The sequence below is a fragment of the Homo sapiens genome, chromosome 4 (genome assembly GCF_000001405.40).
Source record: "Homo sapiens chromosome 4, GRCh38.p14 Primary Assembly".
NCBI classification, from domain to species: Eukaryota; Metazoa; Chordata; class Mammalia; order Primates; family Hominidae; genus Homo; species Homo sapiens.
The window spans coordinates 60722861-60743813 of NC_000004.12; the positions used below are offsets into that span (position 1 = coordinate 60722861).

General features: G+C 35.8%; 1 annotated feature.

Annotated features, from left to right (window-relative positions):
* Positions 1117 to 2316: an enhancer, noted in NCBI's record as "BRD4-independent group 4 enhancer chr4:61589695-61590894 (GRCh37/hg19 assembly coordinates)". NCBI's record gives its function as "activates an origin of replication core promoter dependent on BRD2, P300/CBP, MED14 and CDK7 cofactors, and independent of BRD4, by STARR-seq in HCT116 cells {active_cell/tissue: HCT116}" and the evidence as "EXISTENCE:reporter gene assay evidence [ECO:0000049][PMID:35650434]".

Genomic DNA, 20953 nt, shown 5'->3' on the forward strand with positions numbered 1-20953 from the left:
GGCTCAAGGCTATAACCCAGTGCTTTGGGAGACCAAGGCAGGAGGATTGCTAAAGGCCAGGAGTTTGAGCTCATCCTGGGCAATATAGTGAGACCCCCATCTCTACAAAAAATTTAAAAATTAGCCAGGTGTGCTGGTGCATGCTTGTAGTCCTAGCCACTCCAGGGGGCGGAGGCAGGAGGATCACTTGAGCCCAGGGGATTGAGTCTGTAGTAAGCCATAATCATGCTACTGCACTGTAGTCTGGGTGAGAGAGCGATACGCTGTTTCTAGAAAAAAATAAGATAAAATAAACCAAAAAGAGGCTCTAAGAAAGTAATATCCCTCCTTATTAGCAAGGCAATGAAAGTTGAGATAATTAAGAACAATTCCCAAAAGCTGGCACATTTGGACAAACAGACATTTGGGACCCCCAACTGAACTCCCACATGGCTGCCTTACACGATTAACAAAATCTGTGCCCTTCAAGGTGTTAGAGATGAGAAAATAAACTTGCTCGTTAGAAAGCCAAACTTCTTAAGAAATAAAACAAGACAAAAGGAGAACCTTATGAGGCTTTTTCTTCTCATGACAAACCATACGAAGATACAGAAACAAGGAAAACAAAGACCATCCTAGGAAAATGACAAATCAATAACCAAATAAGTATGTACAACAAATCTACAAGAGTCACAAATTCAAATAACCATTTTTTACAGATTTTTTTTCCTGTTAATATGAACCTGGAAAGGCAGGGACAAGGAAAAGAATTTACTTTCCTCTCTCCACCAGGTACCACAGAGGGAGAAGCTGGCTTGAGTAAGAAACCTTACCTTTTTCTGTGGACTTTTGCCAGTTCTCTTTCAGGATTCCCTCTATAGGTCCCAGAACAAGTGAATTATCTCTGCTTTTCCAGGCTGCATTGAAAAATTGTAGGGGAGAAATCATAGTTTCTTTTAAAATTCTTAGTTGAGACATCTCCTAAAAACAAAAAGTCAAATTAACAGAAAAGTAAAAACAACCAGAAGTTTATTAAAACATGCTGTACCCATCACGCAGGAGAGGCCTCAGTTTAAAAGTATTTCTCTCTCAAGGTAGTGGTTTATGGGCCTTGCTTAAATAGTACTTTAACAAAGAGCCATAAATCCTATCTAGTGATAAGACAGAGGAGAGAGCAGTTCCAGTCTTTTAAAAGGCAGGAACATGTGAAAAGATTGTAAAATCTGTTCCCAGATTCTTCTGGTGCTTGCTAGTGCCTTCCCTGGGCCCATAAGCAAGTGTCGTCTCCAGTAAGGAGGGAACGATGTCCTGCCACCAGGCAAATAGAGGCTGAGGCAGAGCATTCTCCTATGTTTTTAGTGACATTAACTTAACAATTCTCAATATTTCAAGGAGAAATATTTTGGTTTCATTCATCTGTGATACACTTTGGACATCTGTCTTTACTCAAATCTCATGTTGAATTGTAATCCCCAATGCTGGAGATGGGGCCTGGTTGTGAGCATTTTGGTCATGGGGGTGGATCCCTCATGGCTTGGTAGCTTCACCATGGCGAATGAGTTCTTAAAGATCTGGTCATTTAAAAGTGTGTGGCACCTCTCCATCCACTCTCTCTCCCCACTGCTTTCGCCATGTGATGTCCAGGATCCCCGTACACCTTCCACCATGAGTGTGAGCTTCCTGAGGCCTCCCCAAAAGCAGATACCAGTGCTATGCTTCCTGTACAGCCTGCAGAACCATGAACCAATTAAACTTCTTTTCTTATAGTCAGTCTCAGGTATTGTTTTATAACAGTGCAAAAACAGCCTAATACAACCTGCCTACCTTTGTTCCTTATTCCCTGCTTTCCCCCAGCCCCCATTATCCATTCTTCACACAACTGCCGCAGTGATATTTTTAACATTAGTCAGTTTTTGTTTTTCTCTTTAGATTTCTCCAAAGTCTTCCAACTGGTCAGAGGGTGAGTGTCCCAGATGGAATGTAAGCTGAGCTTTGGTATGCAAGTGATTTGATAAGAAATTGTTCCCAGGGAAACTGGTAAGGAGCTGTCCCCAGGGAAGAGCTGAGAAAGCAGGACAAGAAAGGACAAAATCCAAGTGAGGGTGTCATCACAGGCAAAATCCCGTAAAGCGCAGCTTCAGCCTAATCCCACAGAGGAACTCTGAAGAGAAAATTCAGCCTCTGTGTTTTCCCAACTACAAGCTGCACCTATTAATTATCTAATTATTGGGTGGAAGATCGTGGGCATACATTTTCAGATATTTCTCTGAAGTGTGGACCAGGCAGGCTCCAGTATCTTGAGGACATTCCTCCAAACAAGATTCATAGAAGAAAAGTGCACAGAAACTGAAATATGCACAAAAATAGTCATATAGATCCTAAGGAATTGGGGGACCAATATTATCTATTACATAATTCTACTTAGAAATCCAAACTACTTAGCATGGTTTTGTTTAATTAAGCCCTGACAAATTCTACAAACGCCTGTCTCCCACCCAGCCCCTCACACTAACCAAACTAATCTCTGTTGTCTTGCTGTAACCAAGGTTGATCCCTGTGGCCTATTTCCTTTGCCCAAATTCTCACTTGAACTCCATTGTTATATGATTGACCCTATCGTATGCTTCTGATTTAGTTAAAAATGATTGCTTTTCACAGAGTCTGTCCCTCATCATCTGCTTCAAACTTCCATACTTCCCAAACTCTTGATTAAATGAATTTGTTTTATTTTCTTTATAGCAGTTAATGCCATTTGAAATGATCTTGTTGCTTTATTGTCTCTAACTCACCTCATTGCAACATAAACTTCATGTCTGTCTTGTTTACCCTTTCAACTCCACCACACAGAGCAGTGCCTGATACAACATAGGTGATCAACAGTTATTTATTTAATAAGCAAATAAAGGGCCATACATGACCTACTTACATTTTATGCCTACTCCACCCTCACCTCCTTGGATTCCTAACTCCTATTGATAGGGTTGCTACTAGGAAATTAAGAACACCTCATCAAGAATAAAATAAGAAGACATTTAAGAAGGAACTTCCTTATCATATAGTGATGCAGCTATATAAGTTATTAGAGTGCACTGCCATGTTGTTTAAACTTCTTGTTTGGAAATCTCAATGAATCCTTGACTGATCTCGCTAAGGTCCCTTGCCTTGAACTTTGTAGCTTGGGCACATATGAAAAGCTGTTTCTTTTTATATAGGGTATACTCTACTCTAGAAGTCATCAATATATCTAAACATAACAGGAAGAGAATACAGCCCAAGATCTCTGATTTATAAAGTGGCATATATGGGAGTCCAAATCAAACTCACAATACCTCAGATATACAGAGAGAAATATGCCTAATTTAGTTTGCCTGTAACCAATGTCTGTTACTCCCCACGTTTCACTATGGGTTAAAGGAAAAATTTCTACTTTGGATATTTTATGTTTAAAACTTAATCCAATTCAATAATTTGTTAAATAAATTTATAGGAAGTCATTGGTTTGGATTGAGTTCCTGCACTAGGCTTCAACAGACAAAACCAAAATGGAGTCACTCGTGCTAAACTTCTTTATTTAACAAACTGACACTAAGTTGTTTATCTGACTTACCAAGAAATCAGAACAGAGAAAGATAATAGCCAAATCCCCAAACATTCCTGTTTTATCAGACATGATAAAAAACAAAACGTCTCCTCTGCTTTAACCCTAAAAAGGAAAGAAACCTGGAGTAATCTAACAAATGCTAGCCAATCTGCTTTGTGTTCCATTTTTCTAATCTCTTCAGCCCTTTCTGCCTATAAAGCCAGTCTCCTCTGCTCAGCTCATCTGAGTGCCTTTTGTAAATCTTTAGATGAGAAGCTCTCTGATTCACAAATTGCTAATGAAGGCCAATTAGATATTTAAACAAAATTTGTTGAATTTTTGTCTTTTAACAAATTTAAAGAGCCTTTCAAATTTGACAAATTTAAATTATATTAATAATTTGAATAATGTAAATCCAGTTTTGTGATTTAAGATTCCATTTAGACAATGATCAGTCTTACCAGGAAAAATTTCTCAGTCACTCAAATATCTCAGGCATAGGCCTGTTTGTCTGGCTCTTTCCCAGAGTGAGATACATATCTAGGAAAGAAAGCATGTGCCTCATGTACACATCTGGCCAGAGGAAAGGCTCAAGGCCCTTTATTGTGATGTCCTTTGGCTTCAACCCAGGCTATGCCACTAATCCATGCTTCTGCTGCATCCAGATGAGCAAAGTATATGATTGATATCACTCAAAGTCTTATTTTTCTGTACATTTTCATTTGGCCTATGTTCTAAGATTTTTTTATTGCAGGTAGAAGATATAAAAAGTATAAAAAGACATTTTTAGAGAATGTGCATAGCTCAATATTTATATGTGAAAATAGGTAATTAACAATATTATTGAAATCATATACTGTATATTTCTTAATATAATGTGCATGAAAAATCAAAATTGTTTCATTTATATTACTACATATAATTTTTTCTTTCACATTTTTGTCACACTCAGAATTCTAATATTTTATAATTATAGTCTTGGAAATCAATAAATTAAACTTTCCATTTTACAAATGAAAAAGCTATGACATACAACAGGATATAAGAATTTTTTTTAAGTGTCAGAAATCTGGGAGTTTCAAATGTGGAATCTAGGTCCTAATTACCAATATAATGTATTTTCCTCTATCTACTCTGTGTGTGTGTGTGTGTGTGTGTGTGTGTGTGTGTGTGTGCGCGCGCGCGCACGTGCATATATAGACTGATGCAGAGAGAGAGAGAGAGAACACTTTCTTTCATACATTCATTTATTGATGGCTTATTCCACACCTTTGTTATTGTAAACAATGTTGCAGTAAACATGGGAGTATAGACATCTCTTCAACATATTTATTTTATTTCCTTTGGATATATACTCTGTCGTGGTATTGTTGGGTCATAGAGTAGTTTTATTTTTTTTTTTAAGGAACTTCCATATTGTTTTCTGTAATAGCTGTACTACCTGATGTTCTTAGCAACAGTGTACCATGGTTCCCTTTTCTCCACATCCTTTCCAACATTTATTACCTTTTTTTTCTTTCTTTTGGTAATAGCTTTTCTAACAGACGTGAGGCAATATGTCATTGTCATTTCAATGTGCATTTCTTTTGTGATTAAGGATTTTGAGCATTTTGTTATATACCTGCTGGTTATCTTTTGAAAATTTTCTGTACAGATCCCTTGATTATTTTAAAATCAGGTTATTTTTCTTACTACATGGTTAAGTTCCTTACATACTTTGGATATTACCTAGTTATATGATATATGGTTTGCAAATATTTACTCTCATTTCACAGGTTGTCTCTTCACTCTGTTGATTGTTTCCTAGGCTGTGCAGAAGCTTTTTAGTTTGATGTAATCACATTTATATCTGTGCTTCTTTTGTGTGTGGTTTTGAGTTCATATCCAAAAATCATTGCCCAAACCAATGCCATCAAGATTTTCACCTATATTTTCTTCTAGTAGTTTTACATTTTCAGGTCCTGCCTTTAAGTCTTTATCCATTATGAATTGATTTTTATACATGATCTGACATAAGGGTTAATTTTGGTCTTCTGCATATGGATATCCAGTTGCCCCCAAACAACTTATAAAGAGATTGTCCCTTCCCCATTTTGTGATATTGGCACCTTTGTCAAAAATCAATTGACCAGAAATATATGAATTTCTGGACTCTCTTTTCTGTTATATTGGCCTGTCTTTCTATTTATATGTCACTACCATACTGTTTTTACTATAATAACTTTGCAGTATATTTTGAAGTCAGGTGGTATGATGCCTCCAGGTTTGTTCTTTTTTCCTCAAGGTTGCTTTGGCTATTTAAAGCCTTTAGTAGCTCTATACAAATTTTAGGATTGTTTTTCCTTTCCATGAAAACTGTCATTGTGGTTTTGCTAGAGATTGCATTAAACCTGTAGATAGCTTTGGATAATATGGACATTTAAATAATTTTAGTTCTTCCAACTCAGGAACAGAGGATATCTTTCCATATATTTGTGTTTTCTTCAATTTCTTTCATCAATGTTTTTTAGTTTTAGTGTGCAGATCTTTCATCTTTGGAAAAATTACTTTATTCTTAAGTATTTCATTTTTTGTTAGCTATTGTAAATGAGACTGTTTTTGTTGTTTCCATTTTTGAATATTTCACTGTTAGTGTATAGAAAAGTTACTGATTTTATATATTGATTTAACATCCTGCAACTTTGCTAAATAAGTTTATTTTCAATTTGTGGCGAAGTCTTCGGTTTTCTATGTATAGAATTGTGTCATCTACAAACAGGGACAATTTAACTTTGTATTTTCCAATTTGAAATTATTGTCTAATTAATGCCTCATTTCCTTTTCTTCATTCTGTAATTTAACTAGAAGAGCCCCTACTGCTTACCAAAGCTGTTATCCACTTTTTAATATATTTTTTTTTCCTCAGGACTCTGTGAGTCATGATTCCATCTTCTTATTAGTTACCTCTAAGGAGATGATTCACAAATAATCTTTTAAAAAACTTCTTTCAACTTCCTCCTGTCATTTACCACCCACACTGAATTACTTTTCATGTAATCACATTCCTGTCAGTAGCAGAGTAATTTGCCCACTATTTTAAGTATTAGGTGTATCCCAACCAATACCTTGACAGGGCATTCAGTATTAAAATTAATATCTCAACAAATAAATTGAGTTCCTATAATTTTTTTCATCAAACTCCAAAGACCTGGAAATTTCTGGTGGAGAGAAGGTGAGACATACAACTGTGTCTTCAGTGATACTCACATGCTTACATGAAAAGAACAAGAATATTCAATTTCTACTGCTTTTTCTACTGCAAGTATATCTAAGTCTTCTCTGTATGGAAATATACATTACAGATTATAAAATTCCATTCTCCTTTACCATAGCTCTGTGATCATAGGGAGGCCAGGACTTCAAGTTGAGAATCATTGGCTTGTTAGAAAGAATTAACAGGTAACTTCTATGTTGGGCTTTGTATACGTTGGACTGAACCTCAAAACAGAGGCTGTGATATTACATAGCCTATAAAATATACATTTCTAGGGAATATATATATATTTTTTTCATTTATTTTATTTTATTTTATTTTTTATTTATTTTTTTTAATTTTATTATTATTACACTTTAAGTTTTAGGGTACATGTGCACAATGTGCAGGTTTGTTACATATGTATACGTGTGCCATGTTGGTGTGCTGCACCCATTAACTCGTCATTTAGCATTAGGTATATCTCCTAATGCTTTCCCTGCCCCCTCTCCCCACCCCACAACAGGCCCCGGTGTGTGATGTTCCCCTTCCTGTGTCCATTTGTTCTCATTGTTCAATTCCCACCTATAAGTGAGAACATGGGGTGTTGGTTTTTTCTCCTTGCTATAGTTTGCTGAGAGTGATGGTTTCAAGTTTCATTCATGTCCTAACAAAGAATATGAACTCATCATTTTTTATGGCTGCATAGTATTCCATGGTGTATATGTGCCACATTTTCTTAATCCAGTCTATCGTTGTTGGACATTTAGGTTGGTTCCAAGTCTTTGCTATTGTGAATAGTGCCACAGTAAACATACGTGTGCATGTGTCTTTATAGCAGCATGATTTATAATCTTTTGGGTATATACCCAGTAATGGGATGGCTGGGTAAAATGGTATTTCTACTTCTAGATCCCTGAGGAATCGTCACACTGACTTCCACAATTGTTGAACTAGCTTACAGAACCATCAACAGTGTAAAAGTGTCCATATTTCTCCACATTCTCTCCAGCACCAGTTGTTTCCTGACTTTTTAATGATCGCCATTCTAACTGGTATGAGATGGTATCTCATTGTGGTTTTGATTTGCATTTCTCTGATGACCAGTGATGATGAGCATTTTTTCATGTGTCTGTTGGCTGCATAAATGTCTTCTTTTGAGAAGTGTCTGTTCATATCCTTTGCCCACTTTTTGATGGGGTTGTTTGTTTTTTTCTTGTAAATTTGTTGGAGTTCATTGTAGATTCTAGCCCTTTGTCAGAGGAGTAGGTTGCAAAAATTTTCTCCCCTTCTGTAGGTTGCCTGTTCACTCTGATGGTAGTTTCTTTTGCTGTGCAGAAGCTCTTTAGTTTAATTAGATCCCATTTGTCAATTTTGGCTTTTGTTGCCATTGCTTTTGGTGTTTTAGACATGAAGTCCTTGCCCATGCCTATGTCCTGAATGGCATTGCCTAGGTTTTTTTCTAGGGTTTTTATGGTTTTAGGTCTAACATTTAAGTCTTTAATCCATCTTGAATTAGTTTTTGTATAAGGTGTAAGGAAGGGATCCAGTTTCAGCTTTCTACATATGGCTAGCCAGTTTTCCCAGTACCATTTATTAAATAGGGAATCCTTACCCCATTGCTTGTTTTTGTCAGGTTTGTCAAAGATCAGATAGTTGTAGATATGTGGCATTATTTCTGAGGGCTCTGTTCTGTTCCATAGGTCTGTATCTCTGTTTTGGTACCAGTACCATGCTGTTTTGGTTACTGTAGCCTTGTAGTATAGTTTGAAGTCAGGTAGTGTGATGCCTCCAGCTTTGTTCTTTTGGCTTAGGATTGACTTGGTGATGTGGGCTCTTTTTTGGTTCCATATGAACTTTAAAGTAGTTTTTTCCAATTCTGTGAAGAAAGTCATTGTTAGCTTGATGGGGATGGCATTGAATCTATAAATTACCTTGGGCAGTATGGCCATTTTCACGATATTGATTCTTCCTACCCATGAGCATGGAATGTTCTTCCATTTGTTTGTATCCTCTTTTATTTCATTGAGCAGTGGTTTGTAGTTCTCCTTGAAGAGGTCCTTCACATTCCTTGTAAGGTGGATTCCTAGGTATTTTATTCTCTTTGATTTTTTTTTTATTATACTTTAACTTCTAGGGTACATGTGCACAACTTGCAGGTTTGTTACATATGTATATATATGTGCCATGTTGGTGTGCTGCACCTATTAACTCGTCATTTACATTAGGTATATCTCCTAATCCTTTCCCTCCCCTCTCCCCACACCCCACGAAAGGCCCCAGTGTGTGATGTTCCCCTTCCTGTGTCCAAATGTTCTCATTGTTCAATTCCCACCTATGAGTGAGAACATGCGATGTTTGGTTTTTTGGCCTTGTGATAGTTTGATGAGAATGATGGTTTCCAGCTTCATCCATGTCCCTAGAAAGGACATGAACTTATCCTTTTTATGGCTGCATAGTATTCCATAGTTTATATGTGCCATATTTTCTTAATCCAGTCTATTATTGATGGACATTTGGGTTGGTTCCAAGTCTTTGCTATTGTGAATAGTGCCACAATAAACATACGTGTGCATGTGTCTTTATAGCAGCATGATTTATAATCCTTTGGGTATATACCCAGTAATGGGATGGCTGGGCCAAATGCTATCTCTAGTTCTAGATCCTTGAGGAATTGCCACACTGTCTTCCACAAGGGTTGAACTAGTTTACAGTCCCATCAACAGTGTAAAAGTGTTCCTATTTCTCCACATCCTCTCCAGCACCTGTTGTTTCCTGACTTTTTTAATGATCGCCATTCTAACTGGTGTGAGATGGTATCTCATTGTGGTTTTGATTTGCATTTTTCTGATGACCAGTGATGATGAGCATTTTTTCATGTGTCTGTTGGCTGTATAAATGTCTTCTTTTGAGAAGTGTCTGTTCATATCCTTTGCCCACTTTTTGATGGGGTTGTTTGTTTTTTTCTTGTAACTTTGTTGGAGTTCTTTGTAGATTCTGGATATTAGCCCTTTGTCAGATGAGTAGATGATTGCAAAAATTTTCTCCCCTTCTGTAGGTTGCCTGTTCACTCTGATGGTAGTTTCTTTTGCTGTGCAGAAGCTCTTTAGTTTAATTAGTTCCCATTTGTCAATTTTGGCTTTTGGTGCCATTGCTTTTGGTGTTTTAGACATGAAGTCCTTGCCCATGCCTATGTCCTGAATGGTAATGCCTAGGTTTTTTTCTAGGGTTTTTATGGTTTTAGGTCTAACATTTAAGTCTTTAATCCATCTTGAATTAATTTTTGTATAAGGTGTAAGGAAGGGATCCAGTTTCAGCTTTCTACATATGGCTAGCCAGTTTTCCCAGCACCATTTATTAAATAGGGAATCCTTTCCCCATTGCTTGTTTTTCTCAGGTTTGTCAAAGATCAGATGGTTGTAGGGTGTGGTATTATTTCTGAGGGCTCTGTTCTGTTCCATTGGTCTATATCTCTGTTTTGGTACCAGTACAATGCTGTTTGGTTACAGTAGCATTGTAGTATAGTTTGAAGTCAGGTAGCGTGATGCCTCCAGCCTTGTTCTTTTGGTTTAGGATTGTCTAGGCAATGTGGGCTCTTTTTTGGTTCCATATGAACTTTAAAGTATTTTTTTCCAATTCTATGCAGAAAGTCGTTGGTAGCTTGATGGAGATGGCATTGAATCTATAAATTACCTTGGGCCGTATGGCTATTTTCATGATATTGATTCTTCCTATTGATGAGCATGGAATGTTCTTCCATTTGTTTGTATCCTCTTTTATTTTGTTGAGCAGTGGTTTGTAGTTCTCCTTGAAGAGGTCCTTCACATCCCTTGTAAGTTGGATTCCTAGGTAGTTTATTCTCTTTGAAGCAATTGTGAATGGCACTTCACTCATGATTTGGCTCTCTGTTTGTCTGTTATTGGTGTATAAGAATGCTTGTGATTTTTGCACATTGATTTTATATCCTGAGACTTTGCTGAAGTTGCTTATCAGCTTAAGGAGATTTTGGGCTGAGATGATGGGGTTTTCTAAATACATAACATGCCATCTGCAAACAGGGACAATTTGACTTCCTCTTTTCCTAATTGAATACCCTTTATTTCTTTCTCTTACCTGATTGTCCTGGCCTGAACGTCCAACACTATGTTGAATACGAGTGGTGAGAGAGGGCATCCTTGTCTTGTGTCAGTTTTTAAAGAGAATCCTTCCAGTTCTTGCCCATTCAGTATGATATTGGCTGTGGGTTTGTGATAAATCATTATTATTTTGAGATATGTCTTATCAGTACCTAATTTATTGAGTTTTCAGCATGAAAGGCTGTTGAATTTTGTCAAAGGCCTTTTCTGCATCTATTGAGATAATCATGTGGTTTTTGTCTTTGGTTCTGTTTATATGATGGATTATGTTTATTGATATGCATATGTTGAACCAGCCTTGCATCCCAGGTATGAAGCCCACTTGATCATGGTGGATAAGCTTTTTGATGTGCTGCTGGATTCGGTTTGCCAGTATTTTATTGAGGATTTTTGCATCGATGTTCATCAGGGACATTGGTCTAAAACCCTCCTATTTTTCTTGTGTCTCTGCCAGGCTTTGGAATCAGGATGATGCTGGCCTCATAAAATGAGATAGGGAGGATTCCCTCTTTTTCTATTGACCGGAATAGTTTCAGATGGAATGGTACCAGATCCTCCTTGTACTTCTGCTAGAATTCAGCTGTGAATCCATCTGATCCTGGACTCTTTTTGGTTGGTAGGCTATTAATTATTGCCTCAATTTCAGAGCCTAGTATTGGTCTATTCAGGGATTCAACTTCTTCCTGGTTTAGTCTTGGGAGGGTGTATGTATCCAGGAATTTACCCATTTCTTCTAGATTTTCTAGTTTATTTGCATAGAGGTGTTTATAGTATTCTCTGATGGTAGTTTGTATATCTGTGGGATCGGCAGTGATATCCCTTTTATCATTTTTTATTGTGTCTATTTGATTCTTCTCTCTTTTCTTCTTTGTTAGTCTTGCTAGCGTTCTATCAATTTTGTTGATCTTTTCAAAAAGCTAGCTCCTGGATTCATTGATTTTTTGAAGGGCTTTTTGTGTCTCTATCTCCCTCAGTTCTGCTCTGATCTTAGTTATTTCTTGCCTTCTGCTAGCTTTTGGATGTGTTTGCTATTGCTTCTCTAGTTCTTTTAATTGTGATGTTACAGTGTCAATTTTAGATCTTTCCTGCTTTCTCTTGTGGGCATGTAGTGCTATAAGTTTCCCTCTACACACTGCTTTAAATGTGTCCCAGAGATTCTGGTATGTTGTATCTTTGTTCTCATTGGTTTCAGAGAACATCTTTATTTCTGCCTTTATTTCGTTACGTACCCAGTAGTCATTCAGGAGCAGGTTGTTCAGTTTCCATGCAGTTGAGCGGTTTTGAGTGAGTTTCTTAATCCTGAGTTCTAGTTTGATTGCAATGTGGTCTGAGAGACGGTTTGCTATAATTTCTGTTCTTTTACATTTGCTGAGGAGTGCTTTACTTCCAACTGTGTGGTCAGTTTTGGAATACATGTGATGTGGTGCTAAGAAGAATGTATATTCTCTCGATTTGGGGTGGAGAGTTCTGTAGATGTCTATTAGGTCCGCTTGGTGCAGAGCTGAGTTCAATTCCTGGATATCCTTGTTAACTTTCTGTCTCGTTGATCTGTCTAATGTTGACAGTGGGGTGTTAAAATCTCCCATTATTTTTGTATGGGAGTCTAAGTCTCTCTGTAGATCTCTAAGGACTTGCTTTAAGACTGTGAGTGCTACTATATTGTGTGCATATATATTTAGGATAGTTAGCTCTTCTTGTTGAATTGATCCCTTTACCATTATGTAATGGCCTTCTTTGTCTCTTTTTGTCTTTGTTAAAGTCTGTTTTATCAGAAACTAGGATTGCAACCCCTGCTTTTTTTTGTTTTCCATTTTCTTGGTAGGTCTTCCTCCATACCTTTATTTTGAGCCTATGTGTGCCTCTGCAAGTGAGATGGGTCTCCTGAATACAGCACACTGATGGATCTTGACTCTATCCAATTTGTCAGTCTGTGTCTTTTAATCAGAGCATTTAGCCCATTTACATTTAAGGTTAATTTTGTTATATGTGAATTTGATGCTGTCATTATGATGTTAGCTGGTTATTTTGCTCGTTAGTTGATGCAGTTTCTTCCTAGTCTCGATGGTCTTTACATTTTGGTATGATTTTGCAGTGCCTGGTACCGGTTGTTCCTTTCCATGTTTTGCGCTTCCTTCAGGAGATCTTTTAGGGCAGGCCTGGTGGTGACAATATCTCTCAGCATTTGCTTGTCTGTAAAGTACTTTATTTCTCCTTCACTTATGAAGCTTAGTTTGGCTGGATATGAAATTCTGGGTTGAAAGTTCTTTTCTTTAAGAATGTTGAATATTGGCCCCCACTCTCTTCTGGCTTATAGAGTTTCTGCCGAGAGATCCACTGTTAGTCTGATGGGCTTCCCTTCGTGAGTGACCCTACCTTTCTTTCTGGCTGCCATTAACATTTTTTCCTTCATTTCAACTTTGGTGAATCTGACAATTTTGTGTCTTGGAGTTGCTCTTCTCAAGGAGTATCTTTTGGCGTGGTCTGTGTTTCCTGAATTTGAATGTTTGCCTACCTTGCTAGGTTGGGAAATTCTGGATAATATCCTGTAGAGTGTTTTCCAACTTGGTTCCATTCTCCCCATCACTTTCAGGTTCACCAGTCAGACACAGATTTGGTCTTTTCACATGTCCTTTCTGTTTGTTAGTTTTCCTTCTAACAGCCGGGACCCTCAGCTGCAGGTCTGTTGGAGTTTGCTGGAGGTCCACTCCAGACCCTGTTTGCCTGGATATCAGCAGCAGAGGCTGCAGAACAGCGAATATTGCTGAACAGCAAATGTTGCTACCTGATCGTTCCACTGCAAGGTTCGTCTCAAGAGGGGTACTTGGCCATGTGAGGTGTCAGTCTGCCACTACTGGGGGATGCCTCTCAGTTAGGCTACTCGAGGATCAGGGATCCACTTGAGGAGGCAGTCTGTTTGTTCTCAGATCTCAAACTCCGTGCTGGGAGAACCACTACTCTTTTCAAAGCTGTCAGACACGGAAATTTAAGTCTGCCTCTGGGGAATATTTTTTAATGTTGGAGAATACTTTAGCAATATCATTACAGGGAAAACAAAGAATAGTATCTATAAGAAAGCCCAAATAAAAATATACCAAACTTTTAGTAATAGTGTTTTCCTTTGCAAGGACATAAAGGGAAGTGAGTTGGTTATAGTTTTGTTCTTTGATTCTTAATCCTTGTATTCATTTTCCACTAAAAGCAATTATAATAAGGATAAAAACTAAAATTAGATGATTAAATATATTTTATTTATTTGTTTGTAACTTTGTAAAGGAAATTGCATTAAGCGTACAGCTTTGAACTTTAACCTCTACTGTGAGTTTAAGAGCTGTCTCTTTTTTTTTTCTTTTAGATGGAGTTTTGCTCTTGTTGCTCAGGTTGGAGTGCAATGGTGTGATCTTAGCTCACTGCAACCTCCGCCTCCCGGGTTCAAGCGATTCTTCTGCCTCAGCCCCCAAGTACCTGGAATTACAGGTGTGTGCCACCATGCCCAGCTAATTTTGTATGTTTTAGTAGACAAGAGGTTTCACCATGTTGGTCAGGCTGGTCTGGAACTCCTGACCTCAAGTGATCCACCCGCCTTGGCCTCCTAAAGTGCTGGGATTACAGGAGTGAGCCACCGTGCCCATTCAAGAGCTGTCTCTTGATTTATTTATGTACTTATATCATTTTATTCTGGCTCCTATTTCTCATTCATCTCACACGCCTTAGGCAACATTCTGAAGCATATTCTCTTATTTTACATGTAGTTCCTTTATCTAGGCATTGAACTGAACCTCATCACAGAGAATGTAATATTATACAACCATTAGAATATATGTTTCTAGGGAATATTTTTAAATGTTGGAGAATACTTAAGCAATATTATTATGAGGAAAACAAAGAATAACATCTAAAAGAAAGCTTAAATAAAAATATATAAAAATTTCAATAATAGTGTTTTCCTTTGCAACGAAGTAAAAGGAAGTGAGTTGGTTACACTTTTGTTCTTTGACCCTCAATCTTTTTATTCATTTTCCATTAAAAGCATACATATAAAGTATGGCTACATGTATATACAAGTATATAATCATACTTTATATGTTACCATACATAAAATATGTTCATACTATGTATGTGTTTGTGTTTGCCTGTGTTTGTATTAACTTATATGTAAAATATTTTGTTTAGAAAAAGGTTAATTTTCATGTTTAATTCATCAGTATGCTTTCAACATCTAGCCGTGTTGTTTTGGTTACATCTTATTACTCATTCAAACTGTTGCATAATATTTGATGGTGTAATACCTTTATTATTTCACTTCTGTCAATAATAGATTCCTAGGCTGCCTTCAAATCCCCAACAGCACAAACAAAACTGAAACGAAGATTCTCATTTCAGTGAGAATTTTACTAGAAAATCTATATAGAAGCAGAATTCATGGATACATATGGATGGATGGATTAATAGGTAAATAGATAAATAGATAGATAGATAGAGAGATTTTGTTCCTGAAAAGCTGAAAAAGGCTATTTTCTCATCAGCTATACATGACGATTTTCCATACCCCTAAATTCTACCAGCACTTTCTGAAAATCATTTTTTCAAATGTTTACTAGTTGAAAGTGTGTAAAGGAGTGTTTTGGGGAACTTTTAAGATGACTGAAACAATGATATAGATATCTTTCTTTTAATTTTTCTGAAACTAGGGACAGTAACTAGAATACTAAAATGAACATATAATATGTACAGAGATGTCGATGACAATATATTACCATGAACTCAGAAGTATGTGTGAAGGGGGACAAACCACTAATCACTATAATACTTACATGGTAAATATGTAGGAGAAACAAATGAGAAAAAATAGCTCTTGTGAAAGATGTAGAAATTACAAAATTGTCGTTAGGTATGTATTAGTCAATGTTCTGCAGAGAAACAGAGAAACCAATAGGGTATGTGTTGTGTACTGTTGGTTCTGTTTCTCTGAAGAATCCTCATTAATGTGTGTGTGTGTATTTGTGTGTGTGTGTGTGAGAGAGAGAGAGAGAGAGAAAGATTGATTTATTATGGAAATTGGTTCACACGATTGAGGAAATTGAGAAATACCACCATCTGCCTTCTGCATGCAGGAGAACCAGAGACGCTGGTAGTATAATTTAGTATGAGTCCAAAGGCCTGAGAACAAAGAGCGACAATGTGTCAAGGCAAGAGCCAGAGAAAGCAAATTCGTCCTTCACTTGCTTTTTAGTTCTATCCAGACAGTTAAAGGATTGGATGATGCCTGTCCACACTGGTGAGCTCTGTGTCCTAATTTAAATGTGAATCTTTTTCTGAAATACCCTCATGAACATACAAAGAAATAATGCCTTACCGATTATTTCAATATCCGTTAACCCAGTCAGGTTGACACAGAAAGTTAACAAGTTACTCATTGTAAATCTCAGAGGGACAGTTTAAAATTAATAGTTGGAACTGGAGAGAATTTTATACCCTGCAACAGTAGATGAGTCTAAAACTAAAGCAGTAATATCTGTAGGATGCTGGAGCTTTCTGAGTCTCGGAATTCTCAAAACTAAAAAAGCTGCAGAGAAAAGAACAAAAAGTGAGCATCACAAGAACAATAGAAAAAAATGAAAGATGAGTTCCCCATAAAATTGAGAGAGGAGATCAGATCCAGAAGATTTTAAAAAGTAAGCTGCCATATTTATTTAAGTACATGAAAATAACGAAAGAGACAGCCAGGTTAAGCCAGAAAAGCTACCTTGAACTTTAATCTTCTGAACGCTGAGTAAAACCAAATTAATGTAAAAACTAATAGAAAAAGAAAAGGGTCAAGCCCGCAAAAAGTTATAATAAAAGAGAATAAGAAGCAAAATAACATATCTATAGATAACAAATGCATGCTAGGAAATCATGCCTATAGTTAAATTAAAATAATAGCTTATTATTTCAAAATAAAAAGTATCCATAAAAGTACAGGATTATGGAAAAATTACATAAATTTAAATTAAAAAATTAATAAAGAAGTGATATTATTCAAAGAGAAAACTAGAAAAAATGCCCACAGATGAAGAGAATGTTAAAAAGATTGCAAAGGTAAATAAACAGCGATTAGCGCCCTAAAACTAGAAAAAAAGAGTAATTTTAAAAATGAATAAAAGACATTAACTCAATTCAAAAAAAGAGGAAACATTTATCAAATAAATGACGTTTATTTAACAGAGATATAAGAGGGACTTTGAGAAAGAAAAGTAGTTTAATCCAAGAAAAAATGTCCTGAAGCTAATACAAAGATTCAGAATTACATCTTGAGAAAACACACTACATAAGCTGACTCTAAATGAACAATTACTTGACTTCAGGAAAAAATAAATCTACCTAAAGGAACAGGTCAAATGATTCATTTTATACTTTTGATATTAATGAGTTGTTCCAGAAGAAGATGACATAAACATTTTAGTATATTCAAGGAAAGAGATTGAAAGGTGAGGATTTTACACTCAGATTATACAACTTGCAAACAGTTGACAACAGGCAAGAACTCAGGTTAAATTAAGCTATAAGTTCTGCCTAAGGAATCTTCCAGGGAACAAGTTCTACACAATAAAAATAACGAGCCACATTGACAAAGTACTGGCAGAGAACATTAAATATATATTCTTCTGTATAACTAAGAGTATACGAGGTTAAACAGTATTATATAATGAATATGCCTTAACAATATAGATCCCACAAAGACTTAAAGGAAAAATGATAAAAAGTTTGTGTTCTAACCACAGTAAAATTAAATTATAAATAAAAGAAATATATAATTTCCAAAATATTTGGAAAGTAAACAATACATATTTAACTCAATGTTCAAAGAAAAAAATATTAAAAAATGGAAATTACTTTGAATTGAATGACAATAGAAATAGAACATAAAAATTATTTTTGTGTGATGTAGCTAAAGCATTAAATATCAAGCAATTGACAGCACTAAACACCTAGACTGAAAAAGAAGTTTTCATTACAACAATCTAGGCTTCCATCTGAAGAGGAGAGAAAAAGAAGAGCAAATTCAACCCAATGAAAGCTGGACAAAGAAAATTTAAGAGTAGAAATAAAATAAATGAAAGGCAAAAATAGTAGACAAAATTAACAAGAGCAAAAGCTGTTTTTTTGAGGAGATAAATAAATAAAATGGATAATAGATGGATAACCCTTTAGCAGACTGATGAAAAGAGAATAAACATAAATTGCCAAGGTGAGGATAAAAGGGGGACACCATTAAAGATCTGGAAGCTACTGAAAGAATAATAAGGAAATATTTTTAAAAGTGTCATGACATTACATTTGGCAGCTTAGCTGAATAGAAAAAATTCCTTGAAAGTCTAAAATGACCAGGGTTCACTTAAGAGGAAATAGAAAACCTAAATAGACCTTGTCTATTAAAGAAATTATCTTGTAGTTAAAACCGTCCCTTAACACACACCACGCATGCACAGAAACACACACACGGTTTCACTATTGATTTTTACCAAACATTTAAGGAAGGAGTCTGCAATCTATTTTTTTTCTCTGTTGCGTCAGTCTATCTATTTGTTCTTTCATTGATCCCGTGCTGGTTTCATTAATGTGGCTTTGTAATGTGTCTTACCGTACACTCCCTTTCTCAGCATTAGCTTACCTTCACTAAGACCTTTATTTTTCATACTAATTTACATTTTTTTCAAATTTCTCAAATTTTAAATTATAGAATTGTAGAATTAGATAGCTACAAGTTAATTTTTATAATTTTAATTAGTTTATATTTTTCTCCTCATTGATTTAAATTTTTCTTTTGCTCTATTTTTAAGATTTTTTTCATAAAAGACATTTTTTGTTGAGATCAATATTATTTTTATGAATATTTGCATTAGTATCTTATTATTTATGATAATTTCTTGTCAGTTATTGCTACAGTAGGAAAATAAAATTTTGTAAGTGGTCTTACATATGACAACATTGAACTGCATCATTTCCATTTGATAGGACTAAACATTTTTCTACTTTTCAATACTTCTAAACATTTTCTGTAGTAAATTTACTACTTTATTGTTGGAAATAAAATAAAATATAAAAGAACATGTGTTCTAATGTAAACATTATCATATTTTACATACATTTGAATTCTGCTATCATTGTTTTTTATTAAAATAAGTAAGAGAACTATCAACTGCAGAACTAAAGAAAATCCCAGTTAACTAAGAGTCATATACTGCAATCCACACTGTCTTTAATCTCTGGTGGAGTAGTTATTCCAGTTTGTTTTCAGAATAGCTTTGAGGCCTTTAATATTATAGTACACTTCCCCTGCCCGGCATTCCACATCCCATTCACTCAGGGAACTGCATTGGAACTAATACTAAGCATTAGGGAAGAAAACATCTGTTGTTCTTCTAAAGTTTTTTTTCCTTGTAAAAGAATCTTCCATTAGAAAAACTCTCCTAGCGTCTCGCCACCTATTTGCTCATTTTTCTTCAGCAAAGAATTGACCTATCTGATTATCAAGTTTAGAAGAATGAGCTAGATGTACGATCAGGCTTCTCTTTATCTGAAATCTGCCTGGCAGCCAAAGTTCTGCTCTCTGTCCTTGGTCTCAAGTTCATTACTAAATTTGATTAAATATAAAAGCTCTGACTATGGCTTTAGTTTTTCAGTAGTAAAATGTAGCTTCATTTACTCATCAGTGTCAGATTTTTCTTAATAAGAAGGAAACTTATAAGACTATCCTATCTACTTTTATTTAAGGAGATAAACAATGAAATGATTAGAAACCCAAAGGCTGACGAGGTTCTTACAAAGACCTGTGCTTGGAACTTCAGGCTCTGAGAATAATACTTGCTCAGAGAATCAAAGACAAATTGAAATGACTAGAAAAACTGCTTCAATTTTCCCATTAGGTAAGGAGCAGCAAAGAATCAAAACAAAAGAAAAGCTGACTATTTTAGGGAAAGAGATAGTTCCTCAAAAGGAATGTTAAATCTTAGGAAGAAATTAAAGAAGTTATAACTTACAAAATAAATTTTGGAAGGGCAGGACAGAGAGATAGACAAAGGGAAATGAAGTAGAAAGGGTATCTGAAAATAGAATGTTGTTTTAGTTGTTAACAGACCAGCTAGTACAACTAAAGCCTCAAATGTCAAGATCAAAGACTGGAATAACTTCCCAGGGGAGATTTAGGGTCCAGGGAAATACTAAGAAGTTATACAATAAAAAACAAGCACCTAAGAATTGATACAGGTATCTCAGATAATTATATAAAACTGGTAGAGATCTTAGAGAAGACCAGAGAGACAATTGTAAGACACTGTAAGAACTACTGGGTTAGTTCTAAGGGGACTTCTTCAAAATAGGTGGGATACAGGTATTACGTGTGCCCTGGGCCACCAGGCTGAAAAGTATATTAAATTAGGATTTAATAAAGAATCAAAGTTAGAGAAAACTTTAAGTAGGGCCCATGGCTATCTGATAGGCAAAATTTTGCCAACTGAAAACAAGTTGCTCTGTGCTTTGGGTAGACACACACCATGTAAGGGCACACAGCTCCACAACAGAGATACGGGTCGGATATCGTTTTTTTGTTGTTTTTTTTTTTTTTTTGCAATTTACCACCTATAAAGCAAATATGGCTCCTGGGTGGGATTATCAAACTCAAGGTAAGAAGGAAGAATAAAATTTTTTAAACAGTGGATATATTTGGCAGATCTATGGTTCTCACTAAGGGAAACTCCCAAGAAAAAAATCTATTAAAAAAAGTTAAAAACAAACAAAAAAGAACAATTACAGTGCAGAATGTGCAGAAATAGCGCAACAAACTAGGCACTCAATTCCAGCAAACAATAAGCATATGTTGAAAAAAAAATCAAAGAGGGAGGTTAAAACATAAAGAAGAATAATTCAGTCATTTTTAAAAGAGCAGAAAAGTGCTTCTCAGCACATACTCATACCCCTAGGACATTTTAAAAAATAATTAAGGCTCCTGTCCTAGCTCATAGCTCTTGACTTTAAAACCATGGGGGG